We start from the raw sequence: 18000 nt of genomic DNA, 5'->3' as shown, positions 1-18000 counted from the left end.
TGAGGCAGGAGAATTGCTTAAACCCAGGAGGCGGTGGTTGCAGTGAGCCAAGATCACACTACTGCACTCCAGCCTGGGCAACAGAGAAAGACTCTATCTCAAAAAAAAAAAAAAAAAAAAATACCCAAGGCCAGGTAATTTACAAAGAAAAAAGGTTTATTTGATTAACGATTCTGGTGGCTGGAAAGTTCAAGGTGGAGCATCTACCTCTGATAAGGGCCTCAGGCTGCTTCCACTCATGGCAGAAGGTGAAGGGGAGCTGGTGTGTGCAGAGATCACATGGCAAGAGTGGAAGCAAGAGTGAGAGTGAAAAGGTGCCAGGCTCTTTGTAACAACCAGCTCTTGTGGGAATTAACAGAGCAGAAACTCACTCACCCCCAAGGGAGGGCATTAATCTATTCATGAGGGATCTGCCCCCATGACCCAAACACCTCCCATTAGTCCCCACCTCCAACACTGAGGATAACATTTCAACATGAAGTTTGGAGGGGACAAACATCTGAACCATAGCACTTGCATTTCCGAAATGGTCACGCTTTCTTCAGAGCTGAGATTTGGGTGAGAATTTTGGAACTTTTAACTTGTAAGGGAAGTTCTCATATTCTTAGAGGTGAAAGCACTAGTCAGGACGCTTGGCTGTGATTGCCAACAACTGCCACATTGTGTTAATATGAGCAAGTCATTAAAATTCTTAGTTTCGGCTTTTCCAACTGTAAAATCAAAATGATGTTACCTGTATCCATTAAGATACTCTTTTGTCTGCAGGTCAAGGAAAACCCTAACTCCAAATGACTTAAACCAGAACTTTCTAATGGAAGTATAATATGAACTATGTATGTAACTTAAAAATTTTTAGTAGCCATATTTAAAAAGGTGAAACCAATTTTAATAATACATTTTATTTAACTCATTATCCACAATATTTTTTTTGTGTGTAAACAATATACAATCATTAATGAGATATTTTCCATTCTTTTTGTGTGAATTTTTAAAAATTCTGGAATATTCAAAATCTGAGTATTCCAGAGCACAAACATGCTTTCTTACAAACAACTTACAAACCGGGCAGAAAATTGGAGCTGGTCTCATTTTCTTCCTGAGCTCTCTCTGTCTTCTGTGTGGCTCCTTTTCATCTTTCCAGTTAATCCTTTCTGGGCAAAGACTCTGACCTGTCAAAAATCTAGGGTTTATTGAACACTTACTATATCCTAGGCACTGAGCTAGCTGCCTCACACACAGTTTATTTAATCTTCAACCCACCCTCCCCACTCCCTGCCACTCAAGACCTGGGGCATCACCTCTCATCTGGACTGCTGCCATGGCTGCATTTATTTCTGTGATTGGTTAATTATATTTAGTCTATCCCTGGCACAAGACTCTGAGCCCCTTGCTGGCAGCGATCATGTCCACTTAGTTCACGGCTGTATCCCAGCACCTAGCTAGAAGAATGCATGGTCTTCATCTAGCTTGTCAAATGCAAAGGGTTGTATGAACAACCAGATGAAGAAGGTATCATGATTTCCATTTTACAGAATGACAAACTGAGGCTCCGCAGGCTTAAATAGTTTATGCATGTCTTAGAACTATTCAACGTCAGAGTTTAGACTTAAATCCCTGTTATTCTATACTCACCAGAAGAGCAACTGCAAGGAGAAGGCTATATTTAGGTTTTATTAATTTCGGGAGTCCTATCGGGGGGACAGGACCGTATTTTTGCCATGGTTATGGCCTTCACCAGCATTTTACATGTACACCAATAACTCCCAGGGCTTGAACTGCTGAATCTGGACCTGAACACCCTTGGCAGCCAGTGCTGTCCACTACTGAGCACCTACTGCATGCCGAGTCATGAGGGAAAAAAGATGGGTTTCCTGCCTCTCAAAGGACATAAGAGTGTCATTCAGGAAAAGACTTGAAAATTCATCGGATGCTTACCGAGGATTTCCTTGGGCCTGGGAACTGTGCTAGATGCCAGGAGCTTAGCATCTTAGCAAGAATAAGGTAGACAAAGCTTCCTCCCTCTTGGAAGGCAAAGACAAGCAGGGGAGGCTTCTGGTGAACAAATGGTCATGATAATTATTCAATGGCACCTGTGGAAAGTGCTAAGAAAAATGGATGACATGATAACATGTGGCTGTTTCCAGCAGCACTCAGGGAATGGGGCTCAAGAAATCTTCCTGGATGAAATCACGTTTAAGCCAAAGCTAGAACTGTCAATAGAAGTTGGCCAGGGGAAGAGGGAAGAGAAGAGCATGTGAAGAAATGGGGAAAGCTTGTGCAAAGGCCCCAAGGTGGGAAGGCGAGTGTGAGTGGTGAGCAGTCCAAGATGAGGCAGGGGAGGTGGCAGGGGCGGCCCCTGCCAGGTTTTGTGGGCTGTTGGGGATCTCCCCCGTTTCCTTTGGGACAGTGGGAAGCCCTGCAGGGTTTACAAAGCTCAGTGAGGAGGCAGTCCAAAGGGTATCGGAGGAGGCCCTTCCTTCTGCAGACGGCCCCTCTCAGCCAGATGGCCATGGGCAGCGGCCTCCCTCTCTCCCTCTGTGGATGCATTCTTCCTGTCTCCAGGGAGAACTGTCCTGTCTTGGAGGGAGTTGGAGTGGGGGTGGCCTCAGGAGTCGGTTTTTCCCCTTCCCAGGGCCCTGTCACTCCCAGCCTCCCCTGGGTGTCTGTGCCTCTTGCCACTTGCTTGTAAGTTTCCTAATATAGCCTGACTGTTTCCTTCCCAACTGGTGGCCAAGAGCTGCTCTCCTGTTGCAATCTCAGTTTTTCTTGGGCTTAAAGGGACTACATCAGCCCATCTCATGCCAAACTGAAGCTAAAGGTAGGTTGGTTGATTTAATTTCATAAAGTTGTCCAACCCAGAGATTAGATGTCTTGTCTCTTTCTCCCAGTTTACCATCTTCTCTGCTCTCTGCCTGTTCACTTTTCCCTTTCATTTTTAAAAATTTCTTCTGAGAAGTAGAGGAGCATAGCCAGACACGGATGTGAGTTTGGCTCTGGCATATTTATTAGCTGTGTCATCTTGGATGAGTCCTTTGTCCTTGATGGGCCTTAGTTTTTTCTGATCTGTAAAACAGGAACCATAAAATACCTCCCCGGAGCTGTCATTTCCACAGAGCTGTTTGCAGATGGACAAAACAGAAAGAAGAGAATAAACAGTTACGGAATGCCTGCTGTTCATTCATGCATTCATTCATCCAACACATATTTACTGAGTACCTATTTGGCACAGTTCGAGGCACTGAGGATACCACAGTGAACAAAAAAAGAAAAGAATCCTTGCCTTTAAGGAGCTCGCATGCCAGTGAGGGGGGATGGTCAATAACACAAGAAAAAGCAAAATGTATGTTGCACTAGATATGCTCTAGGAAAAATAAAGCAAGGAAGGGAGATAGAAGACCTTGGGCACGGGTTGAATCGTAAGTAGGGTGGCCACGGGTGGCTTCACTGAGAAGATGACATTTGAGTAAAGGCTTGAAGACGGCAAGAGGGTGAGCCATGTAGGTATCTGGAGGAAGGGCATTACAGGTAGAGGGAACAGCAATACCAAGGCCCTGAGGTGGTTCCATGGCCCCTGTGCAGCAGCAAAGCAGTCTTCGTGGCTAGAGTGCAGTGAGGGAAAGGGGAGGATGGCGGGAGAGGAGCACAGAGGAGTGAATGGGGATGAGGTCAGGTAGGGCCTGTGGGTCACTAAGGACTTCAGCTTTTCTTCTGAGTGAGAAGGGTCAGTGCAGTGTCGTAATCTGACTTAACACATGTGAACAAAATCCCTCTGATTGCTGTGTTAGGGATGGATAGAGGGGCAAGAGTGGAATCAGGAGACCAGTATGGCAGTCACTATGAAAATCCAGGTGAGAGAGAACGGTGGCACAGACCACTCTCTAGTCGAAGTGGAGGTGGTGAGAAGCGGCTGGATTCTGGATCCATTTGGAAAGTAGAGCTGATGACTTTCCTGATAGATATTTGCAGAATGCTATGCTGGGTTGTTTTTTTTGTTTTTTTTTTTCCTGAAAAGCTTCTTTACAATTTATTTATTTACATTACAAAAACCAACTGTATCAAGGTGTAATTTCCATATGATAAAATGCATTTGAAATGTACAGGTGTGACAGATGTACACGCTTGTGTAAACCATCAGCACAATTCAAATGCAGAACATTTGGCTGGGCGCAGTAGCTCACACCTGCAATCCCAACACTTTGGGAGGCAAGGTGGGTGGATCACCTGAGGTCAGGAGTTTGAGACCAGCCTGGCCAACATGATGAAACCCCATCTCTACTAAAAATGCAAAAATTAGCTGGGGGTGGTGGCACACACCTGTAATCCCAGCTACTCAGAAGGCTGAGGCAGGAGAATCGCTTGAACCCAGGAGGCGGAGGTTGCAGCGAGCCAAGATTGCAACATTGCACTCCAGCCTGGGTGACAAGAGCAAAACTCCATCCCCCGACCTCCAAAAAAAAAAAAAAAAAAGGTGCAGAACATTTCCATCAACTCAGGAAGTTTCCCTGTGCCCTTTTGCATTCTATTCCTTCCACACCCAGCCCCTGGCAACCACAGATCCACTTTCTGGCACTATAGGTTTGTTTGTTTGTTTGTTTGTTTGTTTGTTTGTTTGTTTGTTTGTTTTTTGAGGCTTTCATGTAACTGGAGTCACACAGCTTTCATCTCTAGCTTTGTTCACTTAGCATGTTTTGGAGACCCATTCATGTGTTGTGTGTAACAGCAGCCTGCTCTCTTTTCTTGCACTTTTCTAGCACTTCTCTTTTCTAGCACACTCTCTTTTCTAGCACTTCACTGTGTTAGTTTATCCATGTACCAGCTGACTGACATTTGAATTGTTTCCATTTTTTGTTGTCTTATTTTTAATCCTCAAAAGACCCCTGGAAAGTGGGTATTACTTTTCCATTTTCCAGACAAAAAAACTAAGATCAAAAGAAGGAACTTGCCCAAGGTTCCCCAGCTTAGATGATATTTGAAGCCAGGATGACTCCACATTCCATTCTGTCCTCAGCCTCCATCCAATGGGATCACATGTGAATGAGCTTGGGAAATGCGACCTGTTGGTTTCCCATCTATCCAACTTCCCATTTTTCATCAGCTATACCACATTCCCATTTCTCTGTTCATTGCACCTGTCATACAATCCCATTTTCCACTTCCTTAGCTTAAGTTGGATCTTAGTTCAAATCCCAGTTCTGCTCCTTTCTCACTGTGTGACTTTGGGCAAGTCACATAACTTCTCTGAACATCAACCTACCTATGAAATAGAGGTCATATTTGCATCTTCCTCTATGAGATCATGCCCAATGCTTTCTTCTCCATTTCTGTCTCTCTCCATTTCTCTTTAGCCCTTTTATTGCTGATATTCCATGATCCTTGGTTTTTTGAGGCTGGTCATTGAAGGGAACAGAGCCCAGGTGTCTCTCCCTCCTGGCTGTTCTTTCTTGCTGTCCAGAGGGGCTGGAAGCACTAGGGACCTTTTCCAACAGAATAAACAGGAATTGATGGTGGTAAAGCCCAAGGATCAGTTGTTTTCTTTTAAAGTTTCACTGGTGCTTCTAATGCACACCAGGATTAAGAGCCATGGGCTCGCAGCATACACTCTGGCATCAGACAGGCTTAGGCTTGGATCCCATTTCCTTGGTCAAATTGCTTAACCTCTCAGATCACCAGCATCCTCCTGGAAATTCGCATTATCATGGGACTCACCTCACAGGACTGTTGAGAGGTTTAGTGAGCCCCTGGCATTGTACATGATCCTTAATGGGGGTTCTTGATCCTTAATGGGGGCTCTTCATGCAGAAGAGGTAGGATGGGGTAGAAGTGGGATCCTGAGCTCAATGTGCTGGGAGGGACCAGGCAGTGTGGAAGCATCTAGATGTGCCCTCCTTCGCCTCCAAAGTTACAGTGCACCAATTCCTAGAAGCTCAGCATCTCAGAGTTAGATCAAGCCTTGGAGAGCTCTTCACCCAACACATCATTGACAGGCAGACAATGGAGGTGTTAAGAAAAGGAATTGCCAAGGTCACCCAATGAGATGGAATTTTTGAACAGGTTTAGTCAGTCAGCCATTTTGCAGATATTAACGGAGCACCTCTGTGTACCAGGCACTGTTCCAGGTTCTGGAATCCATCCAAGAACAAAATAGAAAAGATCCCTGCCCTCATGGAGCTTCCATTTTAGCAGAGGGAGAAAAGCAATTAATGTAATAAATAAGTCATATGGTATGTTAGAAGGTGATACGTGCTATGGGAAAAATAAGGAAAAGTAGATAAGTGAGCAGGGTGGTGGGGGTGCAGGCAGATTGCAATTTTGGAAAAAATTTTGTGGGTTCATAATGGATGTATATATTAAATATTTATGGGGTATATGAGATGTTTTGATAAAGGCACGCAATGTGAAATAAGCAGATTGCAGTTTTAAACAGGGTGGTGTATTCATCAGCGTTCTCTAGAGGGACAGATCTAATAGGATGTGTGTGTGTGTGTGTGTGTGTGTGTGTGTGTGTGTATATATATATATATATATATATATATATATATATATATATATGGAAGTTTATTAAGGAGTATTAACTCACACGATCACAGGGTCCCACAATGGGCTGTCCACAAGCTGAGCAGCAAGGAAGCCAGTCCGAGTCCCAAAGCTGAAGAACTTGGAGTCTGATGTTCGAGGGCAGGAAGCATCCAGCAGCATGGGAGGAAGATGTAGGCTGGGAGGCTAAGCCAGTCTAGGCTTTTCACATTTTTCTGCCTGCTTTATATTTGCTGGCAGCTGCTTAGAAGGTGCCCATCCAGATTAAGGGTGAGTCCACCTTCCCCAGCCCACTGACTCAAATGTTAATCTCCTTTGGCAACACCCTCACAGATACACCCAGGATCGATACTTTGCATCCTTCAATCCAATCAAGCTAATACTCAGTATTAACCATCACAGGGGGTCAGAGTAGGTCTCATTGAGCAAAGACTTGAAGGATATCTGGAGGAAAAGAGTTCCAGGAAGAGGGAAGAGCAGTGCAACAGCAGATCTGCTGGGGTGAGTTTAGGAGTCCCATCCTTGGTTGTCTACTCAGCCATCTTGCTCCTGGACATTTATTAGCAGGAAGACCTTTTGGTTTTTGTTAACTAGGGAGAATGTATCAGCTTGTGTTTAAAACAAAGAAGCCTCAGAATTTCTGCCTTCGGTGCAGTGAACGTTATGTATCAGGTACCGTTCTACATGGTGGAGGTACAAAGACGAAGGCAGAGAACTGCCTTTCAGCAGCACTGCTGTGGGAAAGAAAGACCAGGACTGTGGCCCAGGTGTGTGTGTGGGGTGAGTGAGGGCAGATGTGAGCTGGAGGTGGCTGTGTACCATCTGAGGGAACACAAATTTCCAAGGTGACATCTGGAGCTACCGAAGGGAGAGGGAGGGGTTGGGGATATATTTGGGGAGGTCAGCAGGACATAAATGGCAGTTTAAAAACACTAGATGTGCAGTCATCTAGAGAGAATAGGAGAAGGTTTTTGGATGAGCCCTGGGGAGAACTACATGTCAGGATGGGGGTGAAGGATGAAGTTATTTTGGCAGCTGTGTATCAGCTTGTCATACAACTCAGGTGACCTCACACGTGAGCACAACTTTGTAGAATCACAGTATCACACACATATCTTTGCTTTCAGAGTTTTTCGGAGACATTAACTCATTTAAACCTCAAAAAAAAACCCTAGGAGGTAAGAGGCAGTTATTACCTCTGGCAGATAAGGAAGCTAAGGTACAGGGAGGTTAAGTCAGTTGCCCAAGGTCACACAGCTAGTAAGGGCAGAGGCAGGATCTGGACCCAGGGAGCCTGGCTCTGGAGTTTGTGCTCTGAACCACTACTCCCTGCTGCCTCTCCACACACATAAGACTTGGATGGCTGCTAACATAAGGCATCTTAATCCCAGGAGCTCATGGACTTGTGTACATGCAGGGCCTAAGTTGCCGACACCTTGTACACACCACTAGCCTTCCTCCATATGGTTTCATACGGTCTCAGTGTCTCGGTTTCACTGATGCCCATCACCTCACACACTCAGCCTGGAGTGCTACATATTACTTTGTTCTTTGGCACTCTGATAGCCTTGCACACTCAGAACCTCATACACATCCATAATGTCAACTCCGTGAGATCTCAGGCACTCACCCCACTGTGCACACACTACCCTGCACACTCATGATTTGTGTGTGTGTGTGTATGTGTGACAGGGTCTCAGTCTGTAGCCCAGGCTGGAGTGCAGTGGCACAATCATGGCTCACTGCAGCCTCGACCTCCCGGGCTCAGGTGATCCTCCCACCTCAGCCTCTCTAGTAGCTGGGACCACAGGTGCATGCCACCACGCCTGACTAATTTTTTTGTAGAGAGAGGTTTCACCATGTTGCCCAGGTTGGTCTTGAACTCCTGAGCTCAAGCGATCCATCCGCCTCCACCTTCCCAAGTGCTGGGATTACAGGCGTGAGCCACCTGCCCCCACCTCATGATCTCATATAGTCAAAAGACACCGATATGCACGCCCACAAGTGTCTTGTACGCACGATCTTGCACAAATACACACACAAGCCCATGCTCTCCAACATTTGCACTACCATGCGAACTCACTAGCTTATCCGTTCACGACTTGTGACCTTGCCATGTTCCCACCAACGTATTCCTACCATCGTGCAAGCTCCTCCTGGCTCACCCACTCGTGTTATTGCACACTCGAGTAGACTCAAACACTCATAGCACTGTGCACCCTGACCCTCAGACGGCCTTGCGCCTCTCGGTCCCACCCCGCCTTGCCCACTCCCGCCCTTGCCCTCCCAGGCCACCGTGCACACGCGGGGACCCGTCGTGCCGCCTACTGACGCGCCCTCTCCTCGCCCGCAGGGACGTACCAAGGCCAGTTCACCAACGGCATGCGCCATGGCTACGGAGTACGCCAGAGCGTGCCCTACGGGATGGCCGTGGTGGTGCGCTCGCCGCTGCGCACGTCGCTGTCGTCCCTGCGCAGCGAGCACAGCAACGGCACGGTGGCCCCGGACTCTCCCGCCTCGCCGGCCTCCGACGGCCCCGCGCTGCCCTCGCCCGCCATCCCGCGTGGCGGCTTCGCGCTCAGCCTCCTGGCCAATGCCGAGGCGGCCGCGCGGGCGCCCAAGGGCGGCGGCCTCTTCCAGCGGGGCGCGCTGCTGGGCAAGCTGCGGCGCGCAGAGTCGCGCACGTCCGTGGGTAGCCAGCGCAGCCGTGTCAGCTTCCTTAAGAGCGACCTCAGCTCGGGCGCCAGCGACGCCGCGTCCACCGCCAGCCTGGGAGAGGCCGCCGAGGGCGCCGACGAGGCCGCACCCTTCGAGGCCGATATCGACGCCACCACCACCGAGACCTACATGGGCGAGTGGAAGAACGACAAACGCTCGGGCTTCGGCGTGAGCGAACGCTCCAGTGGCCTCCGCTACGAGGGCGAGTGGCTGGACAACCTGCGCCACGGCTATGGCTGCACCACGCTGCCCGACGGCCACCGCGAGGAGGGCAAGTACCGCCACAACGTGCTGGTCAAGGACACCAAGCGCCGCATGCTGCAGCTCAAGAGCAACAAGGTCCGCCAGAAAGTGGAGCACAGTGTGGAGGGTGCCCAGCGCGCCGCTGCTATCGCGCGCCAGAAGGCCGAGATTGCCGCCTCCAGGTAGGACAGCGGTGGGGGTGGGAAGGGGTCGCCTCCCCTCGGAGAAGGGGGTCCTGGGGCAGGGCAACCTAGGAGGCCCTGTCTCCAAGCCTGATTCTGCTTCTTTTACCCCCATCACCTTCAGGGGTTAATTGGAGGCTCTTCGGGAGCTGGTGGCTCCTGTTCACTCACCCATCCATCCATCACTCAGTTACACCCAGCCCTTCCACTGACTTAACCCTACCACTCACCCAACCTTTCTAATATCCACCTGAACAGCCATCTCTCCAGTCATCCACTCCATTCCCCTACCCATTCCACTTCCTGTTTACCCACCCAGTCATCCAGTCATCCATCTATCCACACAACCTCGCAGTCAACCACCCAAACATCCATCCAAATCCACCCAATTCCTTCATTGACTAACTTCTCTAACACTCACTGAACAACCCCTCCACCCACACACCCACCTCCAGTCCCACATCACACCTGAACATCCACCTGAACAACAGCCTAACATCTACCTGAACAACCACCCATTCACTCAAAGATTTACTTATCTATTCCATGCAACCTACCCAATTTTTCATCCTTTTACCTACTCAACCAGCTCATCACCCATCCATTCATCGACTCAACCACCCGTCCAACTACCCAGATGCCCATTCAAACATACAGATACCCTTTCAACCACTCACCCGTCCCCTCACCCACCAATCACCTGCATTCACTCAGCTGCTTCCAGCTGCCCAGCCACCCATCTTAACATCCAGCCACGCATCCATTCACTCAAGTACTTCCATTTATCCACCCAGCGACACTTCTGTTCATTAAAACAACATCCACTCCCACCCACCCGCCTGGTCATCCAGCTACCCAGCCAGCCACCTCTATCACTCAACCAAACTTCTATTCATTCAACCTCCCCCACCTATCCATCTACCCATGCGTCCATCCACCCTCCCATCTACTAAACACCCACCCTATCATCTACATTCAAACCCCTTTAAGTCTTCTCATTGTGCTTCAGATAAAGTTCTAATGTTGTCTCCAAACATTTATGGCACCTACTAGGTACAAGGCAATTTTAAGTGGTTCACAAATATGGACTCACTCAGTCCCTTTAACAACCTTATGATAGGTACTGTGTTTATTTCTGTTTTGCAGATGAGCTAAGTGAGGCTCAGAGAGATAAGGTGACTTGTCCAAAATCACTCAGTTAGTGAGTGGCCTTTTCTAATCAGGTTCCCACCCTCCTACCCAGCCTTATTTTTTGTCATTCTTTCCCTGAGCCTGGAGTTTTCTTCCCTCTGTGCTAGTTCTTCCTTCTTTAGTTCCTCCTGCCACAGAGCTTTTGTTCATACTGGTTCCTTTGCCACTCACTTAACCTCTACTCCTCCTTCAGGGCTCAGGTCAAGCCTGACTCCCTTAGAGAGCGGATGAGGTCCACCGGCAGCTGCCGTTCTGTCCTTAGAGCGCGCCACAGGTGCAGCTTTACATGACTTACATGATTTGTTTTTAACCCACCACTTAAATAGGATTCTCTATGTGCCAGTCACTGTTCTGAGGTCTTTACCTATATTAACTCATTTACTCTTACAAGATCCTGAAAAGGTAGATACTGTTCTTATTCTCATTTTGCAAATTTGGGGTGGGGTACAGCAGCAGTGGGGTACCCCTTTCAACCTTTTCAACCCAGCAAAAGTGGGGTACAGGAGCAGGGACAGCAGCAGTGTGGTCTGGCAGGAGGGTGGTAAAAGGCAATCGCCTGTCCTGGGGCTGCAGCAATCCTCCTGAGGATGTAAATGGCCTGGCAGGAGACTGGGCACATGGTCTTCAGAGTTAAGCAGGCCTAGGGCCAAATCCTGGCCTTGCCATTTTTTTAGCTCGTTGATGTGGGCAGATCAGTTGGCCTGTCTGAGTGTCAGTTTCTCCATCTGTGGCACCGCCATTTCTTAGTTGTATGTCCTTGGCCAGATCCATTTTCTTCTCTAATCTCAATGATCTCATCTATAAAGACAAGTTGGTCTAAGGGTTAGGAACGACAGTGCAGGTCAGGTGGCTCACAATCCTATTGTGAGGTGAGTTCCCCAGGAAGCAGACTTAGAGATGAAGATTAACATGCAGGAAATGTACAGGGAGCACCCTCTGGATCAACACTTGTGGGGAAGGGAAGAAGGCCGGACTGGGCGGTGGGAGACATTGGGTTGCAATACAGTCTCAACAAAGCCTCAGCCAACCATAAGGGATGCTCTGCAGTGGAGATGACCTTCAAGGTCATCGCAAGTTGGGATGAGGGAGCTGGATCTTTTATACTCTCCTCATTTGTATGCAGGCTACCCTCCAGAAGGAGGCTTGACTAGGGCTGGACAGCTCTCTTCAGCCAAGGGCAATCCCTGGAGAGGGCTGACAGCTGGCAACTCTCTGAGTAGCTGGGAGTGGGAGAAATAAGTCCTTCAGTCCTGAAGGGGAATCTGGGTAGCCCATCAGAGTCACCACTACAGTGTCGGACACCAGACATGGCTTGAAAAATATGACTAGTCATTGTCATCGTACAATGAATTCATTTTACAGACATGGAAACTGAGGCCCAGGGAATGAATGTAACATGCCCAAGACTACCTGGCAAGCAAGTGGGAGAACCCAAGCATCAGCCTCTAGCTTTCTGATTCAAAAACTTTAGCACATCTTGCTAATGCTAAACTTTGTAAACTTTACACTGCTATAAGTGTGTGAGCCGTTGGCATCACTGAAGGGGACAGAAGGTATGGGTGATTTTCTTAAAACATCTTGGTTAGAGGCAACTATAGTTTGAATGTTTATCCCCTCCAAAACTCATGTCGAAATTTAATTGTCATTGTAACATTAAGACGTGGGAACTTTGGGAGGTGATTAGTTCTGAGACTAATCTTTGAGAGGTGATTAATCCTCATGGGTGGGATTAAATCCCTTATAAAATGGTGAGTTTGACCCCTTTTTGTCTCTTGGCACTCCCGCCTTCTGCTGTGTGAGGATCCAACCTTCCTCCCCTCTGGAGAATGTAGTGTGCGAAGTGCCATTTTGGAGGAAGACAATGGCCTCACCAGAGACTGAACCCACTGGTGCCTTGACCTTGGACTTCCCCTACAAATGACCCGGTCCCAGGTATTCTGTTAAAGTGGCACAGATGGTCTAAGACAGGCAGGACCAGGCTTATGACCAGGTGCTCATATAATTTATTGTCTAAACCTGAACACTTCTGTGAGTAAAAGGGAGCACTTTTTAAAAATAAAACTTTTAGGTGGGAATAATTTTAGATTTACAGAAAAGTTCCAAAAAGAATACAAAGAGTTTCCATACACTCTACCCATTTTCCCCTATTGTTAACTTCTTACGTTATCATAATACATTTGTCAAGACCAACATGGCACACGACTCTTCACTGAACTCCAGACTTTATTTGCATTTCACTAGTTTTTCCATCAATGTCTTCTTCCTGCTTCAGGATTTCCTGAAGGATCATACACTGCATTTAGTTGTCAGATCTCCTTGGTTCCCTTTGGTCTGTGATAGTTTCTGATTCTTTGCTTTTTTTGTGTGTCCTTGACAGTTTTTTTTTTTTTTGAGGCAGGGTCTCACTGTGTTGCCCAGGCTGGAGTGCAGTGGTGCCATCTTGGCTCACTGCAACCTCCATCTCCTGGATTCAAGTGATTCTTGTGCCTCAGTCACCAAAGTAGCTGGGACCACAGGTGTGCGCCACCACACCTGGCTAATTTTTGTATTTTTAATAGAGATGGGGTTTTGCCATATTGGCCAGACTATTCTCGAACTCCTGGACTCAAGTGATCCTCTTGCTTTGGCCTCCCAAAGTGCTCGTATTACAGGTGTGAGCCACCACGCCCAGCCCAACAGTTTTGAGGAGTACTGGTGAGATAGTTTATAGAGTGTCCCTCAATTTGGGTTTGTCTGATATGTTTCTTATAAACTGAGGATGTTAACTTTGATCACTTGGCTAAGGTGGGTCAGCCAGGTTTCTCTGATGTACAGTTACTATTTCCTCTTTTCCCGCTCCATCCTTTGGAATTCAGACACTCAGTGCAGCCCACACTCAAGAGGGAGAAGGGTCTGGAATTCAGGCACACCTTTTGGAGGGGGGAATATCTACCTATATTATTTAAAATTCCTCTGTATGGAAGATTTGCTCCTTCTTCCAAAGGGAACATTTTAAATAATTACACTAAATATATCTGGTTATGACAAGTGTAAGCTCGGACTGTCCTGGAACACCCTGGGCCACTTAGGCAGAGCACAGCAGGAAGGAGCTTAGGTTCTTGATTCAGAAGACCATGAATTGGAACCCCAGCTCTTCTTCTGAAGAGCTGTGTGACCTTGCCCAAGTTGCTTCACCACTCTGACCCTGGGATCCTCTTTCCTCATAGGGTGGTTAGAAGGAGTATGCGAGCTAATGCCTGTAAAATGCCTGGCACAGGGCAGCCAGCATAAAGACAATCATTGCTATGATCTAACAACATTTGATTTTAAAGGTGAGGAAGTGGAAGTCTGGGGAGAAGGAGGGATGCCCCCTTATTTTCCTTGCCCTCCTGGTCCTTCCTGCCAATGCCTGTGCCCCTGCATGTGGAGGTTTTGAGCTCCCACCGAGAAGGCTGCCAGGCCCACAGCCGGGAAGTGAGCCTGGGGACTGAGAAGCTGGGATCCAGCCTCTTGCATGAGGTGCTGCTGTGGGATTGGATTCCTTGTGTGTCTGGGGCAGGAGTCCTGCGTGCCCATGGAGATGTTGCCATGGGTGGAGGTGGCTGCCTGGATGGGTTTCAAGCTCAGACTGAATTTCCAATTAAGGGAATTTTGGGGTCAGGAGGAAAAGCAGGATTGTGGCCATCTTCCGCAGGGACTCTCCCCATCCCTGGGGCTTCATGAGTAATTTGGCTGTGGAGAGACAGAAAGCATCCCCAGCAGCCACAGCCTCTTCACACCCAGGCAGGCCCGGGCTTTCTCTCCATTGTGGCTTCCAGCTCCTCCCTCCGGGCTCATGTGGAATTTGTCAGCCCGGAGGCTACGATCAGGACATCTTTTCTAAGAGAAGGGAGAAAGATGAGACAGCTCTTCCCTGTAAAATGAGCTATGGATTGAAAAAGATTCTAGACCTGGGCTGTCCAGTATGGTAGCCACTTGCCATACATGGCTACTGGGCACTTGGAATGTGGCTGGTCCAAATGGAGATGCGCTGTAAATGTGAAACATCCTGGATTTCAAATACTTAGTATGAAAAGAATGTAAAGTAACCTATTAATCATTTTTAAAATATTGATTACATATTGAAATGGTTACATTTTAGATACATCAGCTTTGACAAAATACATTATTAAAATTAATTGCACTGTTTCTTTTTACTTTTTTGAATGTGGCTACTAGAACATTTAACATTACAATGTGATACATGTTATATTTATTGGACAGTGTTGCTGTAGACCCATTCAGGCCCTCAGAGTAGTCCCAACCCTGTCACTGAGCAGTTGGGGAGACTGAGGTGCAGAAAAGGATACAGATATACTCACAGCCACAAAGCGATCGAGAGGGAACTAGATTTATGTCTTCTGATTTTGTAGCTAAGAACTCTTTTGTGATGCCTTTTAAGGTCATAGATACTGGATTGTGGAGGGAAGCTGGTATGTTTGGGGAGGCGCCTAAAGTTTTCAGGTTGTCATGCCAACACCCTGACAAATGCTTGTTTTCTGGAAGGAGCACAGTGAGTGTTAAGAGTAAGGCTTAGACTCAGCCCCTTGCTTGCTATATCTTTTCTTCCCGCCAGACCTCAAATTTCTAACTTCTAGAAGACGCACCTCAAAGAGTTTTCACAAGGTTGAAGCAGAGCCTCTATACGAAGGGTATATACACACGCCACAGGGCTGACAAGCAGGAAGTAGTCTGTAAGCATCAGCTGCCATTGCTGTTGTCTAGTCTTCCTGCTGTTGTGCCCCCGTGGCAGAGGCAGGGCATGGCCCTGAGTTCTCAGTTGTCCTAGGGTGTGAGGTTTGGAGCATCTCAGGTTTTGTACCAGGGTGGCATCTGTCTGTCTTCTATCCCCTCAGCCCCCCACCTCCATCTCCTCCCCATGCTGGCTCTGGAAACTCCGAAGCTGATCATAGCTTAGAGTTGGTTTTTTGAGTTGCTGGGAGCTGAATTTCTCTGGTGAGCAGGAACCTATGTAGTCCATGGGCAGTGGCATTGGATGGACCTAGGTTTGAATCTGGCTTCAGCCTCTTATAAACTGTGTGACCTTAGGCAAGTTACCTCACCCCTCTGGGCTCACTTTCCTGTTTAATCAAATGGGAATTATATTACCTCCTCCCTGAAAGTAATGCTGCAGAGAGTAAAAGAAGTAGCTCATGTAAAGGGCCGGTGCTTGGAAAGCATGCAAGGAGGTGTAAGCTGTTATTATCAATCCTGTGTCATTCTGTACTAACCCAAGAATGAAATTGCCCCAAGGGAAGGCCCTGTCTTCTCTCTCAGTCCCTACAACTGTGCTTCCCAAATGTTCATCTTCTGCAGGCCCCAGTCCCAGTTTTTGTTACCTTCACACACCATCTCTACTTACTGTCTTAATCTTCATCTTTGAATCAACTTACTTAAAAATACGTAAGTACATTTATTGAAAAGGAAGACTTTCTAATCACTATTGAAAATGCGAAATCAATATCACAGCAAGTTCTGAAAACAGAACAATGCTATTCAAGTTCCACATCAAACTATTGATGCCCAAAGGCACTGAGCCTAAAGTTTGTTTTCTTTTTGTTTAAAAGAGAAACTGGCAAGAGATTTACTGGTATGAAAGAGCCGTAGGCACCCACGGAGGCCTTTTCCTTAACTAATGAGCAAAATGGACTTGGTGTCACTTCAGGCTGTGATTCTGCACTGCCAACACTCATTTCCACACCATGGGGGACACAGGTCACCAGAGGGAAGAGGGCCTGACACTGGACCAGGTCTCAGGGAGGGTCTTGGTAATTGCCCATCTTTGAGCCTGCTTATTTAATTTTTATTTAATATGCATTCATCTAGTCCTTATTTCTGGGAACCGGGCATGATTTTAAGTACCTTACATGTATTAACTTTTTTTCCCCCTTTTTTGTGGAGAACAGGGTCTTGCTATATTGCCCAGGTAGGTCTCGAACTCCTTGGCTCAAGCTATCCTCCTGCCTTAGTCTCCCTAAGAGCTGGGATTACAGATGTGAGCTACCGTGCCCAGTGGGGATATATTAATTTACTTAATCCTCAAAACAACCCTGTGAGGAAGGTACTGTTATTCTCATTTTACAGATGAAAAAACTGAGGCACAGACAGGTTAAGTTTCTCAAACAGGTTGCACAGCTGAGTCATGGCAGAGCTGGGAGTTGAAGCCAGGTGACCTGGTTCTAGAATGCTCTTAACCACGATCTGACCTTCGGTTGGTTTTCCTTCACAAACTTTAAGAAGCACTTACCCTGTGCCAGGCTTGTGCCAGGGCGCTGGACACCCAGTGGTGAATCAGTGTGGGCAGCGTCCTCTGGAGACCCCCACGTTGAGGGCGAAGCCATGCAGGGATTGGACAGTTGGTGGTGGAGAGGGAGGAAGGAGATGAAATTGATGGGGTCCAACAGAAAGAGCAACTAGCTGTCCCAGAGGAGGTCTGGGAAAGCTCCCTGCAGGGGCCACCTCTGGTTGGGAGTCTGCCAGGTGGAAAAGAGAGAGAAAGGTCGTTCCAGGTAGAGGAACTAGCATGTGCAAAGACATGAAGGTAGGAATGTGCGTGATGTATTTTGGGAGCAATGAGTCATCCAGAATGCTGGAATGGGTGGGGAAAGATTAGAGATGAGGCCGAGAAGGCAGCCCAGGGCCAGGTTAGTACGGGCTTTGAATGCCTGGTGGAGTGAGAGTCTGACGTTACAAGCTAAAAGGTTCCAGGGGCCAGGCAGGCCGCAGGCTTGTGTCCTACTCACTAGAGGGTGGTGGGACCATGGGAACCAGGTCTCCCCGGTCTCTGCAAGCCCTCTTGGGGGAAGCTGCCCCTTCCTAGCTAATGGCTGCCCCAGAGAAACATGGATTTAATGTTAGCACAACTCTTGATTTTTCTTTCTGTTTTTTTTTTGAGACAGAGTCTTGCTCTGTCGCCCAGACTGGAGTGCAATGGCATGATCTCGGCTCGCTGCAACCTCCACCTCCCAGGTTCAAGCGATTCTCCTGCCTCAGCTTCCTAAGTAGCTGGGATTACAGGCATGTGCCACCACGCCCAGCCAATTTTTGTATTTTTAGTAGAGGAGGGGTTTGTCCATTTTGGCCAGGCTGGTCTCAAACCCCTGACCTCAGGTGA

General features: G+C 47.7%; 1 protein-coding gene and 1 long non-coding RNA gene across 2 annotated transcripts in view, besides 2 other annotated features; one reads left to right on the top strand and one right to left on the bottom strand.

Moving 5' to 3' along the window:
• The window catches only part of JPH2 (junctophilin 2), an 80599-nt gene that overhangs the window by 17894 nt on the left and 44705 nt on the right, over positions 1 to 18000 (top strand). Inside the window, exon 2 of the mRNA NM_020433.5 lies at positions 8888 to 9677. Coding sequence (NP_065166.2) covers positions 8888 to 9677 — 790 coding nt within the window. The remainder of the gene's footprint in view (positions 1 to 8887; positions 9678 to 18000) is intronic.
• Positions 2457 to 2717: a silencer, noted in NCBI's record as "fragment chr20:42795218-42795478 (GRCh37/hg19 assembly coordinates)". NCBI's record gives its function as "represses an EF-1alpha promoter that drives an FKBP-Casp9 reporter gene in an ReSE screen in HepG2 liver carcinoma cells {active_cell/tissue: HepG2}" and the evidence as "EXISTENCE:reporter gene assay evidence [ECO:0000049][PMID:32094911]".
• LOC124904909 (uncharacterized) lies at positions 10775 to 17377 on the bottom strand. Its single transcript, XR_007067596.1, has 2 exons — positions 17134 to 17377; positions 10775 to 11666 (listed from the first exon to the last, which is right to left on the bottom strand). It is a non-coding gene; the product is annotated as an uncharacterized LOC124904909 (long non-coding RNA).
• Positions 14728 to 15977: an enhancer, noted in NCBI's record as "amplified fragment containing the chr20:42781958-42783206 (GRCh37) CAGE-defined region". NCBI's record gives its function as "transcribed enhancer in T cells {active_cell/tissue: T cell}" and the evidence as "EXISTENCE:reporter gene assay evidence [ECO:0000049][PMID:24670763]".

This window comes from Homo sapiens, chromosome 20, assembly GCF_000001405.40.
Source record: "Homo sapiens chromosome 20, GRCh38.p14 Primary Assembly".
NCBI lineage: Eukaryota > Metazoa > Chordata > Mammalia > Primates > Hominidae > Homo > Homo sapiens.
Note: the sequence above shows the minus strand (reverse complement) of the source record. Positions and strands in the feature narration are given on the sequence as shown.